The following is a 14,535-nucleotide window of genomic DNA, read 5'->3' as shown; positions in this document are numbered from 1 at the left end:
CATCAAACCCTCACAAGGGCCAGATGATAGAGGGGCCAGTGAGACCCCCACCTCTTCTATTTGATAGACAGGCACACAGAGGCACAGACAAGCTAAATGACCTACCCACCAGGCAGAGCTGGGATTCAAACCCAGGAGGAATGGCGCTGCATGGTGCATGGACTGGAGGTGAGAGTAGAAGCAGAGAGCTGGCCTCAGGCTTTCTCAGCCCTGGCCACCCTGCCTGGGGAACTCTCAACAATGCAGCCTCCCTTACCTGTTCAAGCAGACTCTCTGGGGCAGGACCCAGACCCTGGGGCTTTCTTGAAGTCCCCAAAGGGTTCTAGGAGTAGCAGGACTTGGAGTGCTGCCCAGAGGGTAGTGCTCAGGTATGTGCGTATTTCAGAAGCTCTTTGCCCCCACAACACATTTTTTGCCGGCTTCTTTTTCTTTTAAAGCAGTTTCAAAATAATAAGCATCCTCCAAAAGTGACCAAAGAAGTTTTTGTTTTAAGTATCATTTTGAACTCGTGGATTTCACCTTAGTTGGTGCATTCCAATCCATTGTAGCTATAAGAAGCCCAAGCGGTCCCATCTTTGGCCAACAGGAGCCTGCCGAGTCCTTTTGACTGGACCTGAGGAGCCTTTGGAAGTTTTCTCTCTATCTGGTGTGGTAACATCCAGGTTCAACCTCCCTCTCCAAACCTGGCACCAGCCCTTTCTTCCTGGACTTCCAGATTCCAGATTGGAAGCTGAATCTGGGTGTTGTTACCCCAGTTCTTATATTCTAGTTCTTAACCAACTTTCTAAACATGAAGGAGCTCTTCTCCATGTTCTAGAGAAGAATAGGTTTTAAAAACCTATTGTTAATATCCATCTTTCCTTAAGACATCCTTTCCAGTTTCAGTTCAGCCTTTTGGAAAATCTATATAAGACAGTGTTTCTTATAGAAAAGGATTTTGCCAGTGTTGTGCTTGAAATCTACTTGCTGTAAATGGCTCACTGTAATCAAATATTTCTCCACTTTGAGGGCCAGCCTCAACCATTGAAAAATATCTCCAGCTCTGATGAGATACAAAAATAAGCATTAAAATGGGAAAGCAGTTTAGGCCACCATACGAGCTTTAAGAAAAAGTAAAAACAAATACTCAAAGTTTTCACAACTATAAGAAATCCAACCTAGACTACTGGAGACAGAAATGAGATCACTAAGTCTACTGGGTGTAAAGCCACCTGCAGCCCTTGGCTCTGGTCCCTCCTACTGTTTAGGAGGTAGAGGGGTGTAGAAATAAGAAGTGAGTGACTTTCTTTGGCAGAACATTGATTCTGCAACACTGAAGCCATTGCAGGAAGGTTCCCACAATGTTTGAGCAGATTCCCAAATACTCAGAGGCCCCTGGCCTGTTGTGAAAGGTAGGACAGGGATCCCTAAGCCATAGCTGGAATCCAGAGAGAGGAGGCCGCTGATGGGCTCCCTGAGACTGCAGGCGTGATATCCCCATCAAGGCCCCTAATGCCCCAGGCAGACCTTGGCTGAGGCTGTAGCAGGCCACCCTCTGGCACATTCTAGGAGCCTCTATCTGGCCTTGCCCTTGGCCTTGAAATCTGGTTTCGGGGCAAGAACCACAAGTGTCCTACACCATGCCTGAGTCCCACCACGCACTGCCTGTGTGACCTCAGGCCCCAGTTCCCTCTGGTACAGACTATCTCATGGACTGTGGCAAAGATTAAATGTGCAAATGTAAGTAACATGCATATGGCTGTGTCTGGCCAGGGAAGCTTCTGATGGCAAGAGGGGCACCGGGACCCCTCTGCAGGCACTGACTGGCAAGATGGGGCTGAGGTTCCCTTGCTGTCCCCATGCCTGGCGCAGGTGAGCTTGCAGTAAGCAGTGGAAGGTATCAAATGGCAGTTCTCTGGTCTTTCCAAGGGAGTTAGAATTGTTGTGTGGACTAAACCAGGCAGTCTGAGTGAATGTATTTTATAAACTGTAAAGCACCTGGTGAACCACTAATAACCAGCATTGTTTGGGTGCTGTTCATGTGCCAGCATCTTAATGCACTTCTCATGGCTTCTTGGCAAGCGCCTTAAAGCTGAGGCCTGGTACCTTTCTGAAGCATCAGCAGCCCTTGTCACTGGGATTGACATGCACAGTTGACGGGGAGCCAGAGGACAGCGGCTTCCATCCCTCACCACCCCCTCCCTAGGACAAGCCGGCCTTGACTCATTCTCCGGCAGTCTCAGACCAGCCTAGGACTTCCAAAATTCACTTAGATATTGATTGTTAAGGGGGAATTTGCTTCCAGAACTGGCGCTTTAAGAGGCAGCCACGCTGCTGGAGTTGTTTTCTGGCCCTGTAAAGCTGTGATTGTGCTCCTTGCTGAGGAGTCTCTGCCTTGTGGTCAACTTCCTGTTCTCTTCTGGCTTCTCATCTCCCTTTTCTTTTTTCTCCTTAAGAGACCATGAATACTCCATAAATTCAAAGACAACAGCCAGACAACAGCAAGTGGAAGCCTCAGAAGGGAAAGGGTGACATATCTATGTCTATGTATTGGCCAGTTGTAAGATAAGAACTGCTGGTTCCAGAAAGCTAGGGATATATTTTGGAAAGCAGAACTGAAGTTGTATATCTTTTGGCTGAGCTATACAGAAGGGCGTGAAGGCAGGGCGCAGTGGCTAATGCCTGTAATCTCAGCACTTTGGGAGGCCAAGGCAGGAACATTTCTTGAGGCTGGGAATTTAACACTAGCCTGGGCAACACAGCAAGACCTGGTCTCTACAAAAAATAAAACAAAAATTGGCCAGGTGTGGTAGTGTGTGCCTGTAGTCCTAACTACTTAGGAGGCTGAGGTGGGAGGATCATTTGATCTCAGGAGTTGGAGTCTGCAGTGAGCCATGATTGAACCTCTCTCTGCACTCCAGCCTGAGTGACAGAGAGAGACTCTCTCAAGAAAAAAAAAAAAGTGAGTGAAGTTGTTTGGTATAGAAAGTTTCTAATACATCATTCAGAACTGAGTTACCCCCACAGACATGAGCTTCCAATCAAAATTCACTAAACATAAGAGGAAACAAGTGAACAAGAATGGAAGTTAATGGAAGTGACAAATTGCAGAATCAAGCTATTGAGGTCAAGTGAATGGAATTTTCAGATATTGAATATAGAATGAATACCAAGCAGGAGTAATAAAAAAAAATCCACATCTCAACACATGGTATCACTGTTTCACAAACTGCAGAATGCCAAAGACAGAGTGAAGACTAAATATAGCCAAGTAAGGAAGACAGATTCCTACAAAATAAGAGTTCAACTGACAGCTGACCTTTCAACGGCAACAATGGAAGCAAGAATACAACAGAATCATATGAAAAAATATACAACACAGTGGAAATATATCTTGGAAGTGTGGAGAGAAAATAATTGTCAGGGGAAATTTAAGGACATTTTCTAGTAAATCAAACTGACTACTAGCCACTGACCTTCACTAAAGAGACTACTAAAGGGTGCACTTCAGGAAGAAAGTAAATTATGTCAGGAGGAAAATCTGGAATGCAAGAATATCTTCATGACTCCCAAAATAGAGAAGAATTTCTTAAACTTTATAAAAAACATAGTCAATAAACGATTGACATATTCAACTGCATTAAAATTACAGGCTTAATTAATCAAAGGAAGCCATAAAGTATGTGAGTGCTAGCAGAATATATTTGCAATGTTTATGACAGCCCATGAAATTTGCACTATTAGCAAGAATTCCTATGAATCAATAAGAAAAAGAAAAATCTATTTTAAAATATTTAACTGATTAAAAAAAGACTTTACAGAGGAGGAAATATTAATGGCTAACAAATATATAAAAATAAGCTCTATCTCATTAGTAAACAATTCCACAGTGTCAGTGAGCAACAGGGAATGTGCCACAGCACGCTGTGAGGTTAATGGGGTGAGGGGAGATGGCCCACTGAGGACTCCAGGTACTTTTTAAAGAGACAGTCACAACTCATTCCAGCCTACTCTGACCTGAGAAATGGGTACACTGTGGCCAGGACCCATGGATTTCTAAAGAAATGACCCAAATATGGATTTTCCATGTGAAATATCCTGTTTTAAATGTTGGCAACTTATTCAGAATTGTTTAAAAGTGTATATGCCAATACTGCTTGAGCCAACAAGACATATTCACAGGCCAGAGTTGGTCGAGAGTCCCTCTGTTCACGATTTCTGCATTAAACCCTTGAATTTCTTTTTTTATTTTTTATTTATTTTATTTTATTTTTTTATTATACTTTAAGTTCTAGGATACATGTGCACAAAGTGCAGGTTTGTTTCATGTGTATACATGTGCCATGTTGGTGTGCTGCACCCATTAACTCCTCATTTACATTAGGTATATCTCCTAATGCTATCCCTCCCCCCTCCCCCTACCCCACAACAGGCCCTGGTGTGTGGTGTTCCCCACACTGTGTCCAAGTGTTCTCATTGTTCAATTCCCATCTATGAGTCAGAACATGCAGTGTTTGGTTTTCTGTCCTTGCAATAGTTTGCTCAGAATGATGGTTTCCAGTTTCATCCATGTCCCTACAAAGGACGTGAACTCATCATTTTTTATGGCTGCATAGTATTCCACGGTGTATATGTGCCACATTTTCTTAATCCAGTCTATCATTGTTGGACATTTGGGTTGGTTCCAAGTCTTTGCTATTGTGAATAGTGCAACAATAAACATACGTGTGCATGTGTCTTTATAGCAGCATGATTTATAATCCTTTGGGTATATCCCCAGTAACGGGATGGCTGGGTCAAATGGTATTTCTAGTTCTCAATCCTTGAGGAATCGCCACACTGTCTTTCACAATGGTTGAACTAGTTTACAGTCCCACCAACAGTGTAAAAGTGTTCCTATTTCTCCACATCCTCTCCAGCACCTGTTGTTTCCTGACTTTTTAATGATCACCATTCTAACTGGTGTGAGATGGTATCTCATTATGGTTTTGATTTGCATTTCTCTGATGGCCAGTGATGATGAGCATTTTTTCATGTGTCTGTTGGCTGCATAAATGTCATCTTTTGAGAAGTGTCTGTTCATATCCTTCACCCACTTTTTGATGGGGTTGTTTGATTTTTTTCTTGTAAATTTGTTTAAGTTCTTTGTAGATTCTGGATATTAGCCCTTTGTCAGATGGGTAGATTGCAAAAATTTTCTCCCATTCTGTAGGTTGCCTGTTCACTCTGATGGTTGTTTCTTTTGCTGTGCAGAAGCTCTTTAGTTTAATTAGATCCCATTTCTCAATTTTGGCTTTTGTTGCTGATGCTTTTGGTGTTTTAGACATGAAGTCCTTGCCCATGCTTTTCAACCCCTTGAATTTCCTAACAATCGGATGTGACTTTACCATGACTCAGAGGGGCCAGGCTTCCTGCTCCATTTCCCCCTTGGTTCCCTCCTAACTTCACCTGAGCTTTTAACTAGAGACAGAAAAGAGATGCCCTGCAAAGGGAAACATGCTCTATACTGGCTAATGAAGCTCCTTCTTTTATGCTTTTATCTTCCAGATATTTGGGTTCTGGGTCTGGATCCTGGTAGCCACCACCCAGGTAGCAAACCCATTGCTGCAAGGATGGGTGATGTATGTCTCACTCACCTTGTTTCTCATCTCCCTGGTGTTCCTGTTGTCTTCCTTGTTTGGATTTGAATCCTGGAGAGTTCTGGTAAGAACCAGCAGCATAACTCCTCCTGGGTGGATGTCCTGGGTTGGGTGAGGACAATTGGTCTTTCTGGGCAGGGAGGGATCCTGGGCTAGGCTCCTATGGAACCAAGACTTACTACCAGGCCAAAATGAAGACATTTCTCTGCAAGAGTAAATCATTCCTTGTATTCCCCTTCACTGCCTTCTGTGTTAGGAGAATACACAATGCCCTGTGATCAAGCATATTCTGATGTGTTTCCCCTAAATTTTCTTCCTGGTAAAATCCTTGGAGCAACACTGAAGAAAAAGCTAGTAGGAAAAAAATCACTCCATTCTCAAGGCCCTATCACAATCCCTGTGACAGGTTATTTCTTCCATATCCCACATAAATTTTATGCAAAAAATATATATATATAATATGCTACAAATAATTTTGGATGTGGATGCTTTCATTTAATATTATATCATTAATTTTTATGTTGTTGCATCATCTCAAAAAATCATTTAGAAGTGTTCCATATTGAACAATTAAAGACATATTTAAAAGTACAAAATATTGTATTATAAGCCCTCATGTAGCCATAACCAAGATTCCAGCATTATCAAGATCTTACCACATTTGTTTCATCTAGCCTTTGTCCCCACTAAGGAATTTTAAGGCAAACTCCAGAAATCATGTCATTCTATTCCACACACTTCAGTATGTTTCCAGAAAACCCCGCAAACTTTCTCACATTATCACATGTATACAAAGTTAACAATTCCTCAGCATACCTAAGATAGTATACAGTGGTTCACCCTATTTCAGGACGATAAGTCCCAAGACCCCCCAGGGGATGCCTGAATCCTCAGATAGTACTGAACCCTGATTATGCTGTGCATGCACTTCTTTTTTCTTCCTCACAATTTCACAGATAGACAATTCATTCTTACTGTATATCTTAACAACCTCAGCATATTTTTTTCTTTCCTTATTATATTGAAAACTTTCACCTTTTCACTTAAAGAAAGCACTCTATGACTTCTCTTTGGCATATCCAAATTGCCAGCATCACTACTCTTGCAATTTGGGGCCATTACGAAGTAAAATGAGGATTCTTTGAATGTAAGCACTGCAGTACCACAACAGTCAATCTGATAGCCCAGACGGGTACAAAGTGACTAACATGGGTGGCACAGACAGTGTAGATGTGCTGAACAAAAGGATGATTCACTGGGATGATGTCCCAGGTGGCACAGGGTGGAACAGTGCAAGATTTCATCATGATACTCAGAAAGGCAAACATTTAATTGTTAATTTCTGGAATTTTTCATTTAATATGTCAGACCAAGATTGACTTTGGATAACTGAAACATACTGATCTTTATTAATCTGCCATTTTTTATGACATAGACATTACGTTTAAAACACGGTGTATTAGTCTAATCTCACACTGCTATAAAGAACGAGCTGAGACTGGGTAAATTATAAAGAAAAGAGGTTTAATTGACTCATAGTTCCTCATGGTTAGGGAGGCCTCAGGAAACTTACAATCATGGTGGAAGGTGAAGGGAAAGCAAGGCACGCCTTACATGGCAACAGGAGAGAGGTGGGAGGTGAAAGTGCTATATTTTTAAACAATCAGATCCCATAAGAACTCATTCACTATCATGAGAACAGTATAGGGGAAACTGCCTCATGATTCAATCACCTCCCACCAGGTCCCTCCCTTGATACATGTGGATTACAATTAGAGAAGAGATTTGGGTGGGGAAAAAGAGCCAAACCATATCATTACACCCCCAGCCCCTCCCAAATCTCATGGCCTTCTCACATTTAAAAACTCAATCATGCCTTCCCAACAGTCTCCCAAAGTTTAACTTATTCTAGCATTAACCCAAAAGTCCAAGTCTGAAGTCTCATCTAAGACAAGGGAAGTCTCTTCTGCCGTGAGCCTGTAAAATCAAAAGCAAGTTAGTTACTTCCAAGACACAATGAGGGTACAGGCATTGGGTAAATGCTCCCATTCCAAATGGAAGAAATTGGTCAAAACAAAGGGGCTACAGTCCCCAGAAAAGTCCAAAACCCAGGGCAGCCATTAAATATCAACACTCCAAAATCTCCTTTGACTTCATGTCTCACATTCAAGTCATATTGTTGCAAAGGGTAGGCACCCAAGGCTTTGGGCAGCTCCACCCCTGTGGCTCTGCAGAGTACAGCCCCTGCAGCTGCTTTTATAAACCAGCATGTAGTGCCTGTGGCTTTTCCAGGTGCCTGGTGCAAGCTGCCAGTAGACCTACCATTCTGGGGTCTGAAGGATGGTGGCCCTCTCCTCACAGCTCTACTAGGTAGTGCTGCAGTGGGGACTCTGTGTAGGGGCTCTGACCCCACATTTTCCTTCCACACTTCCCGAGTAGAGGTTCTTCGTAAGGGCTCCACCCCTGCAGCAGACTTCTGCCTGGACATCCAGGCATTTCCATACATCCTCTGAAATCTTGTCAGAGGTTCCTAAACCTCAATTCTTTCCTTTTGCCTGCCTTTAGGCCCAACACCATGTGTAAGCTGCCAAGGCTTGGGGCTTACACCCTCTGAAGCAATGGCCCAAGCTGTACCTTGGCCTCCACTGCTGGAGCTGGAGCAGCTGGGATAAGGGTGCTGTGTTCCAGGACTGCACAGAGCAACAGGGCCCTGAGCCTGGTCCACAAAACCATTTTTCTCTCCTAGGTCTCTGAGCCTGTGATGGGAGGGGCTGCTGTGAAGATCTCTGAAATGCCCTAGAGACATCTTCCCCATTTGTCTTGGGGCCTCTCATTACTTATGCAAATTTCTGCAGCTGACAGCTTGAATGTCTCCTCAGAACATGTGTTTTTCTTTTCTACCACATGGTCAGGCTGCATATTTTCCAAATTTTTATGTTCTGTTTCCCTTCTGAACATAAGTTCCAGTTTTGGACCATCTCTTTGTGAATGCATATGATTATACACTTTCAGGAAAAGTCAGGTCACATCTTGAATGTTTCACTGCTTAGAAATTTCTTCTGCCAGATACCCCAAATCATCTCTCTTAAGTTCAAAGTGCCACAGATCTCTAGAGCAGGGGTAAAATGCCACCAGTCTCTTTGCTAAAGCATAGCAAGAGTGACCTTTATTCCAGTTCCCAATAATTTCCTCATCTCCATCTGAGACCACCTCAGCCTGGATTTCACTGTCCATATCACTATCAGCATTTTGGTCAAAATCATTCAACAAGTCTCTAGGTAGTTCCAAACTTCCCCACAGAATCCTGTCTTCTTCTGAGTACTCCGAACTGTTCCAAACTGTCCATTACCCAGTTCCAAAGTCACTTCCACAATTTCAGGTATCTTTATAGCAGTGCCTGACTTTAAGCACCAATTTTCTGTATTAGTCTGTTCTCACACTGCTATAAAGAAGTATTTGGGACTGGGTAATTTATAAAGAAAAGAGGTTTAATTGGCTCACAGTTCTGCATGGCTGGGGAGGTCTCATGAGACTTACAATCATGGTGGAAGGTGAAGGAGAAACAAGGCATCCTTATATGGCAGCAGAAGAGAATGGGGAAGTATCACACTTTTAAACCATCAGATCCTATGAGAACTCCCTCACTATCACGAGAACAGCATGGGGAAACCGCCCCCATGATCCAATCATCTCCCACCAGGTCCCTCCCTCAACACGTGGGGATTACAATTCGAGGTGAGATTTGGGTGGGGACACAGAGCCAAACCAAATCACACAGCAAACAAAAAAAGCAGGAGTTTGTGGGGCTGGCCTGCCTCATTTGCTCATTCTTTACAGCTATGTAGCCAAAAAGGAAAGTGCTCACCTGAGTGACATGGCCATATGTGGCTCTGCTCTGCATTTCCATGACAGCCTGTACCACGGGACCACTGGCATTCTGTACATGAGTGCTGCTGTCCTACAAGTACATGTCATGATCATGTCTGAGGCCCAGGACCTGAGAAACTACTGCATTAATACGGCAGCCTTAGTGAGTGAGCTGGCTGTGGACAGCAAGTCTTGGCTGGAGGATGTTTAGTGCAGGAGGCCTAACTCTGCTTGTGCTGTATGGACCCTGAGCCTTCAAGTGGAAGGAGCCATGGGGGCAGGGAGAGGGATGCTTGTCCCTGTAAACATGTGTACCCACATTCAGGGGTCTTCTTTTACCTTCTATCATTCCCACCCCAGTTTTCCTCTCTCTTAGACACCCCCACATTGTCTGCAGAATTTTTTCCAAAACACAAATTGGAACAGGTGTCTCTCTTCTACTGAAAATCCTTCAATGGCTCCTACTGCCTTTGGAATGGGGCCCACATCCTTCAGCATGACTGAACTATTCCAGTGTCCTTTGTGTCAATCACAGAACCCTACAGGGGTAATGTACTGGTTGTGGGACCACGGCGAGGTGGTCCAGCCACAGGGTGGAGAGAGCAGGGCCCCCAGGCTTCAGGTCCCCTGGGGCCTCCTGAGTCTGCCACTTACCAGCCAGCTCTCCTCTCCTTCCCTTGTGGGATGGCGCCCTCACATGGCAGAGAGCTCATAGTGACACATTCCTCCTTTGAAGTCCATTTTCACGCTGCCAATACTGTGCATGCAGACATACCCAAGACTGTGCAATTTACAAAAGAAAGAGGTTTATTGGACTCACAGTTCCACATGGCTGGGGAGGCCTCACAATCATGGCAGAAGGCAAGGAGGAGCAAGTCACATCTTACATGCATGGCAGCAGGCAAAAAGAGAGCTTATGCAGAGACACTCTCGTTTTTAAAACTATCAGATCTCATGAGACCCATTCACTATCACAAGAACAGCACGGGAAAGACCCACTCCCATGATTCAATCATCTGCCACTGGGTCCCTCCCACAACACATGGGAATTATGGGAGCTACAGGATGAGATTTGGGTGGGGACACAGAGCCAAACCATAGCAGAGTGGCCTAACCTTCCTGAATCCTACCTTGAAAACTTCCAACGCCAAGGCTACATCTCTTCCCATCCCTGGATCAGTCACTGTGGCCAGAAAGCCCCATGTCAGCCTGGCAGCTCTTGCAGGCTCATGTGGCCATGGCAGAAGGAAGGGGTACATGGTGGGGTGCTGTCTTCAGAGTAAGTATGGGGTTCCAGGGAGCACTGTGACCCTGTGGGGTGGCCACAAAATATCTCAGCTGCCTTCCAGCCTGTCTGCCTCCCTTCCCCCCTCATCAGGTGAGTTTAACTACCTAAACTTGCAAGTCCAGAAGTGACCCCTGGGGCCCTCCATGAGCCAGCCTGTCCCCAGCAAGGCCCCCTGCTGTTCACCCATGGTCAGCTGCCCCAGCTACACCACCCTCCTCACTGCCCATGGGCACACAGACATGCACTCGCATGGGACCTTGGCAGGGGTAACTGCCTGGTGACTCCTGCCTCCTTCTGTCATCTTGACAGGGCCTTCCCTGATGGCCCCTCCCCTGAGACCTTGGCATTCCGCTTTTCGCTTCCCTGCTTCATTTTCTCCCAGGCATTTAACTCCATTTAACCCACGAATGTGCTACTTATTATCTTGCTGCCATCTGCTTCTTATCTCTCAAATGTAAGCTCCATGAGGGCAGGAATTTTTGAATATTTTCTTCACTGTTATACCCACAGTTGTTCTTGAAGGAAAGCAGGTGCTTAAAAGATATTTGTTGACTGACTGAATGAATGAGGAGCATGTGAGTGGACAGTGGGGCAGAGTGGGGCTGGGATGGTTGGCAGGACCCGAAAGGTGTTGAAGGTGACGGCCCCTACCCTGAGAAAAGAGCAGAGCCATCACACAGCTTCAACATGGGGCAACACAGTCGTGTTCTCCCCATGAGTGAGAAGTGTCCTCACTTATCCACTTCTGCCTGTCCTGCCCAAATCGTGGAGCAGATTCGAGGGGCAGGGCAGGCATAAGTGGAAAAGTGAGGCCATGAGGAGTCCTGGCCTGGGATGCCGGTGGCTGAAACAAGGGAGAAATTCATGTCCCATGAGCTAGGCAGGGAAATCAGTAGCCTTTGGGGTGGCTTTGCACATGGCTGGCAAGGGAGGCAGGAGGAGTCAGGGGCCACAGGCATCAGGCTCAGAGAGCAGGGCAAGAAGAGGAACCTGGGGCCCACTGGGCTTGTGAGGCTTGTGAAGAAACATCAGAGGCTCAGTGTGAGCCAGGAAGAGCTGGAGGAGTTCTGAACATTCACAAAGAGCTGAGGAGCTGCTCAGAGCAGAGTTCTGGGCCAGTGAGTGGAGCTGTAGGGGCAGTCAGAGCATGGGTTTTCTGGAGGTGGGCAGAGGAGAGTGGGCCTTGGGCAGGAGGTCAGCGTGGGACATGGACCCAGGGCCGGGGTGGAGGCAAGCCTGCTTCACAGCCAGGTGCAGATGAGACGGAGACTGCAGTCAGGGCAGGACACCAGGATAGCCCCAGGGACACCCTGATGGAGAGTTTCCAGGAGAGGGAGTCGTCGGCCAGGGGTTGCTCCCCTCAGGCCAGGCAGGAGGCTAGGAGGCAGGGTCATGCATGGGCTCCTGGGCAGCGGGGCTGAGGGTCCCTGGGGGTGGGCAGGAGCTGGCACTGCTGTCTCTAACAGTCACTCTCCACCTCCTTCTAGTTCTTCGCCTTCGTCACCATGCTGCTCTACATTCTCCATGCCTTCAGCATCTATTACCACTGATGCACAGGCACCAGGCCAAGGGGGAAATACTCTTTGAAAGCCCTGATTATTTCTCCCCGAAAGCAGCTTCCAATGCTTGCCATCTGGATGATAAACAGAAGATCCACTAAAACATCCACAGGATTAACAGAGCTTCCTTGCAGACTAAGCGATGACACCACACTTTGGACATTTAAATTCACTCTACTGAATAGGAGGAAGCCTTTATTTTCCTTTTCCTGGGAAAGTAACTGTCTCTTGGAATTATCTGACCGTGAACTTCCTCTTCTAGCAAACTCACATGAAAGCCCTCACTGTTGAGAATCCCAGCTCCACTGTCAAGCCTGTTTGGGGATTTTGCCTCAGCTGTGGGCTTCCCTAGAGTAGGTTCAGGGGAATACTCAGCCTGATTATCTTAAAATTGAAGAAGTGCCACCAAGGCCTTCAGATCTAATGCAGATCCACAGACCTTGCTCCTGGTACTTGTTCAGCCTGTGCTGGGGAGCCATGGTCCTGAGTTCCCGGGGAGGCTGGCAGGGTCAAGCCACCCTGCCCACCACCCTCCCACTTCCCCTCCCCTTTCCTCTCCAGCATTGGGATCCAAGGAAAATCTGCATGAAGCCAATTTTGAGGGTAGATTTGTGTGGAAAATAAATCATTATACAGTAAGACCTGGGGCTTGAGGGGTGGGGAATGGGGAGGGAAGGGCATAGCCTGCTCCTCCATGAGTCTGACATCTCAGAAACTGTGCAGCTGCCGGACGCCTGGGTCAGGACTCCAAGACCCCACCTCTTAAGGACAAGAAAATGCCTGGTTCCTCAGAAAAGACCCTCAGGGAAGAAGGTGAAAACATTACATCCAAGGATTCTCCTGCCACAACTGGATTGGAAGAAAAGGCTGCCGCATCATCTCAGCGAGGAGTGAAGGAACCATGTCCCGGGGACCGCGCTCCTCCACCTGCACTCACCCCCTCACATTCTCTTAAGCACCCTGTGGCCCTTCGAGGCCTGGCAGAATGGTGGTGCCCACCGGGTTGGGCCAGGGCTCAACGGGCAAAGTTGTGCACACTAAAATATCAAATCAAGGTGCTTGGTTTTAAAGTAAATGTTTTTCTAAAGAAAGCTGTGCTCTTCTGCTGACCCAGATGAGTAGGGCACAGCCCTGTAACTGCACTTGCCTTCTGTCATTTGGAATGAAATAAATTATGAGAAAGGGGCTTCTTAACTGATTCGAGTGCTTACAGTTTAGTATCAACCTTTTTCTCCTCCTGGGGTTTGCAGGGGCAGGGACAGAACTACAGGAGTCCTGGGAAAGAAAATTCTGGCTTCATTACTGCTCACTGCTCACTTTCTATCACTCTAATACTTTTTTTTTGCAACCTGATACCTTGAAAAGCCACCATGTGTCTCCCTTTTGTTGCCGGGCAGCTGTCTAGGATGATCACTGTTTAATATTTACTAAGTAGCCACATGCAAATAAAAGTTGTTTGTGTGGTAAAAAGGAGCAGTTGGTCGACTTCATCTTGTTAGCATCTGGAACTGGCCATCAGGTCCTAGGTGCTGTCAGTAATTTCACAAAAAGCACCCCTTGGAGCATTTCACAACACAAGTTTTGAGCATGGGAGCTCAGCCCACCCAGCCTTGCTTCTAGAGCAAGAGTGAAGGGAGGTCACATTTGTCTCCAAGGCTTTGGGTTTATAATGTCATTTCCACTTCAGTAAGGACAGTTTGGGTGCAAGTTCCAGAAACCAAACTCACACAGCTTAGGCAAAAATGGGAGTGCACCAGTAGGGGCTGGGAGAGGTGAAGAGGGCTCAGTAGGAGGAGAGCTGACCCCTGCATGGCTCTCTGCTGCACATTGGCCATCATCTCCTGCCACATTGCAAGACTTGTCCAAGTCTCAACAAACACTGGCCTACCATCCCCTGTACAGACACTAGAGGCTCAGCCTGGGCCCCCAGAGTGCACCTGCAGCTGTTGCAGTGCTACTACCTTTCTGCCTTGAGGGGCAGCCCTCCTCTCAGTGTAGGGGTCTCCCCAGGCTCTCGTCTTCTGAAGGGAACACCCCGAGGCTCTCCACAGGCTCATCAGAGGCCCCAGCTGGAGTGGGCTCTGGCGTAAACTTCACAGGCTTTCTCTTTTCCAGGCGCTGCACCTGTGGTTTCCCCTGGGCTTCCCAGGATCCTGCACCCAAGTCTTATCTCAGGGTTGGCTTTGGGGGAAACTTAGACCCA

At 46.4% G+C, this 14,535-nt stretch overlaps 1 non-coding gene and 1 pseudogene across 2 annotated transcripts, besides 1 other annotated feature; one reads left to right on the top strand and one right to left on the bottom strand.

Moving 5' to 3' along the window:
• Window positions 5,207–5,501: an enhancer, noted in NCBI's record as "tiled region #6437; HepG2 Activating non-DNase unmatched - State 24:Quies". NCBI's record gives its function as "activates a minimal TATA promoter and a strong SV40 promoter by Sharpr-MPRA in HepG2 cells {active_cell/tissue: HepG2}" and the evidence as "EXISTENCE:reporter gene assay evidence [ECO:0000049][PMID:27701403]".
• On the top strand, window positions 5,527–13,805 carry MALLP2 (MALL pseudogene 2; annotated as a pseudogene). Its single transcript, NR_187233.1, has 2 exons — window positions 5,527–5,682; window positions 12,261–13,805. The product of NR_187233.1 is annotated as an MALL pseudogene 2 (transcript).
• Window positions 11,502–11,586, bottom strand: MIR4436A (microRNA 4436a). Its single transcript, NR_039635.1, has one exon. It is a non-coding gene; the product is annotated as a microRNA 4436a (primary transcript).
• Window positions 13,806–14,535: the final 730 nt, after the last annotated feature.

Source organism: Homo sapiens, chromosome 2 (assembly GCF_000001405.40).
Source record: "Homo sapiens chromosome 2, GRCh38.p14 Primary Assembly".
Taxonomy (NCBI): Eukaryota; Metazoa; Chordata; class Mammalia; order Primates; family Hominidae; genus Homo; species Homo sapiens.
Note: the sequence above shows the minus strand (reverse complement) of the source record. Positions and strands in the feature narration are given on the sequence as shown.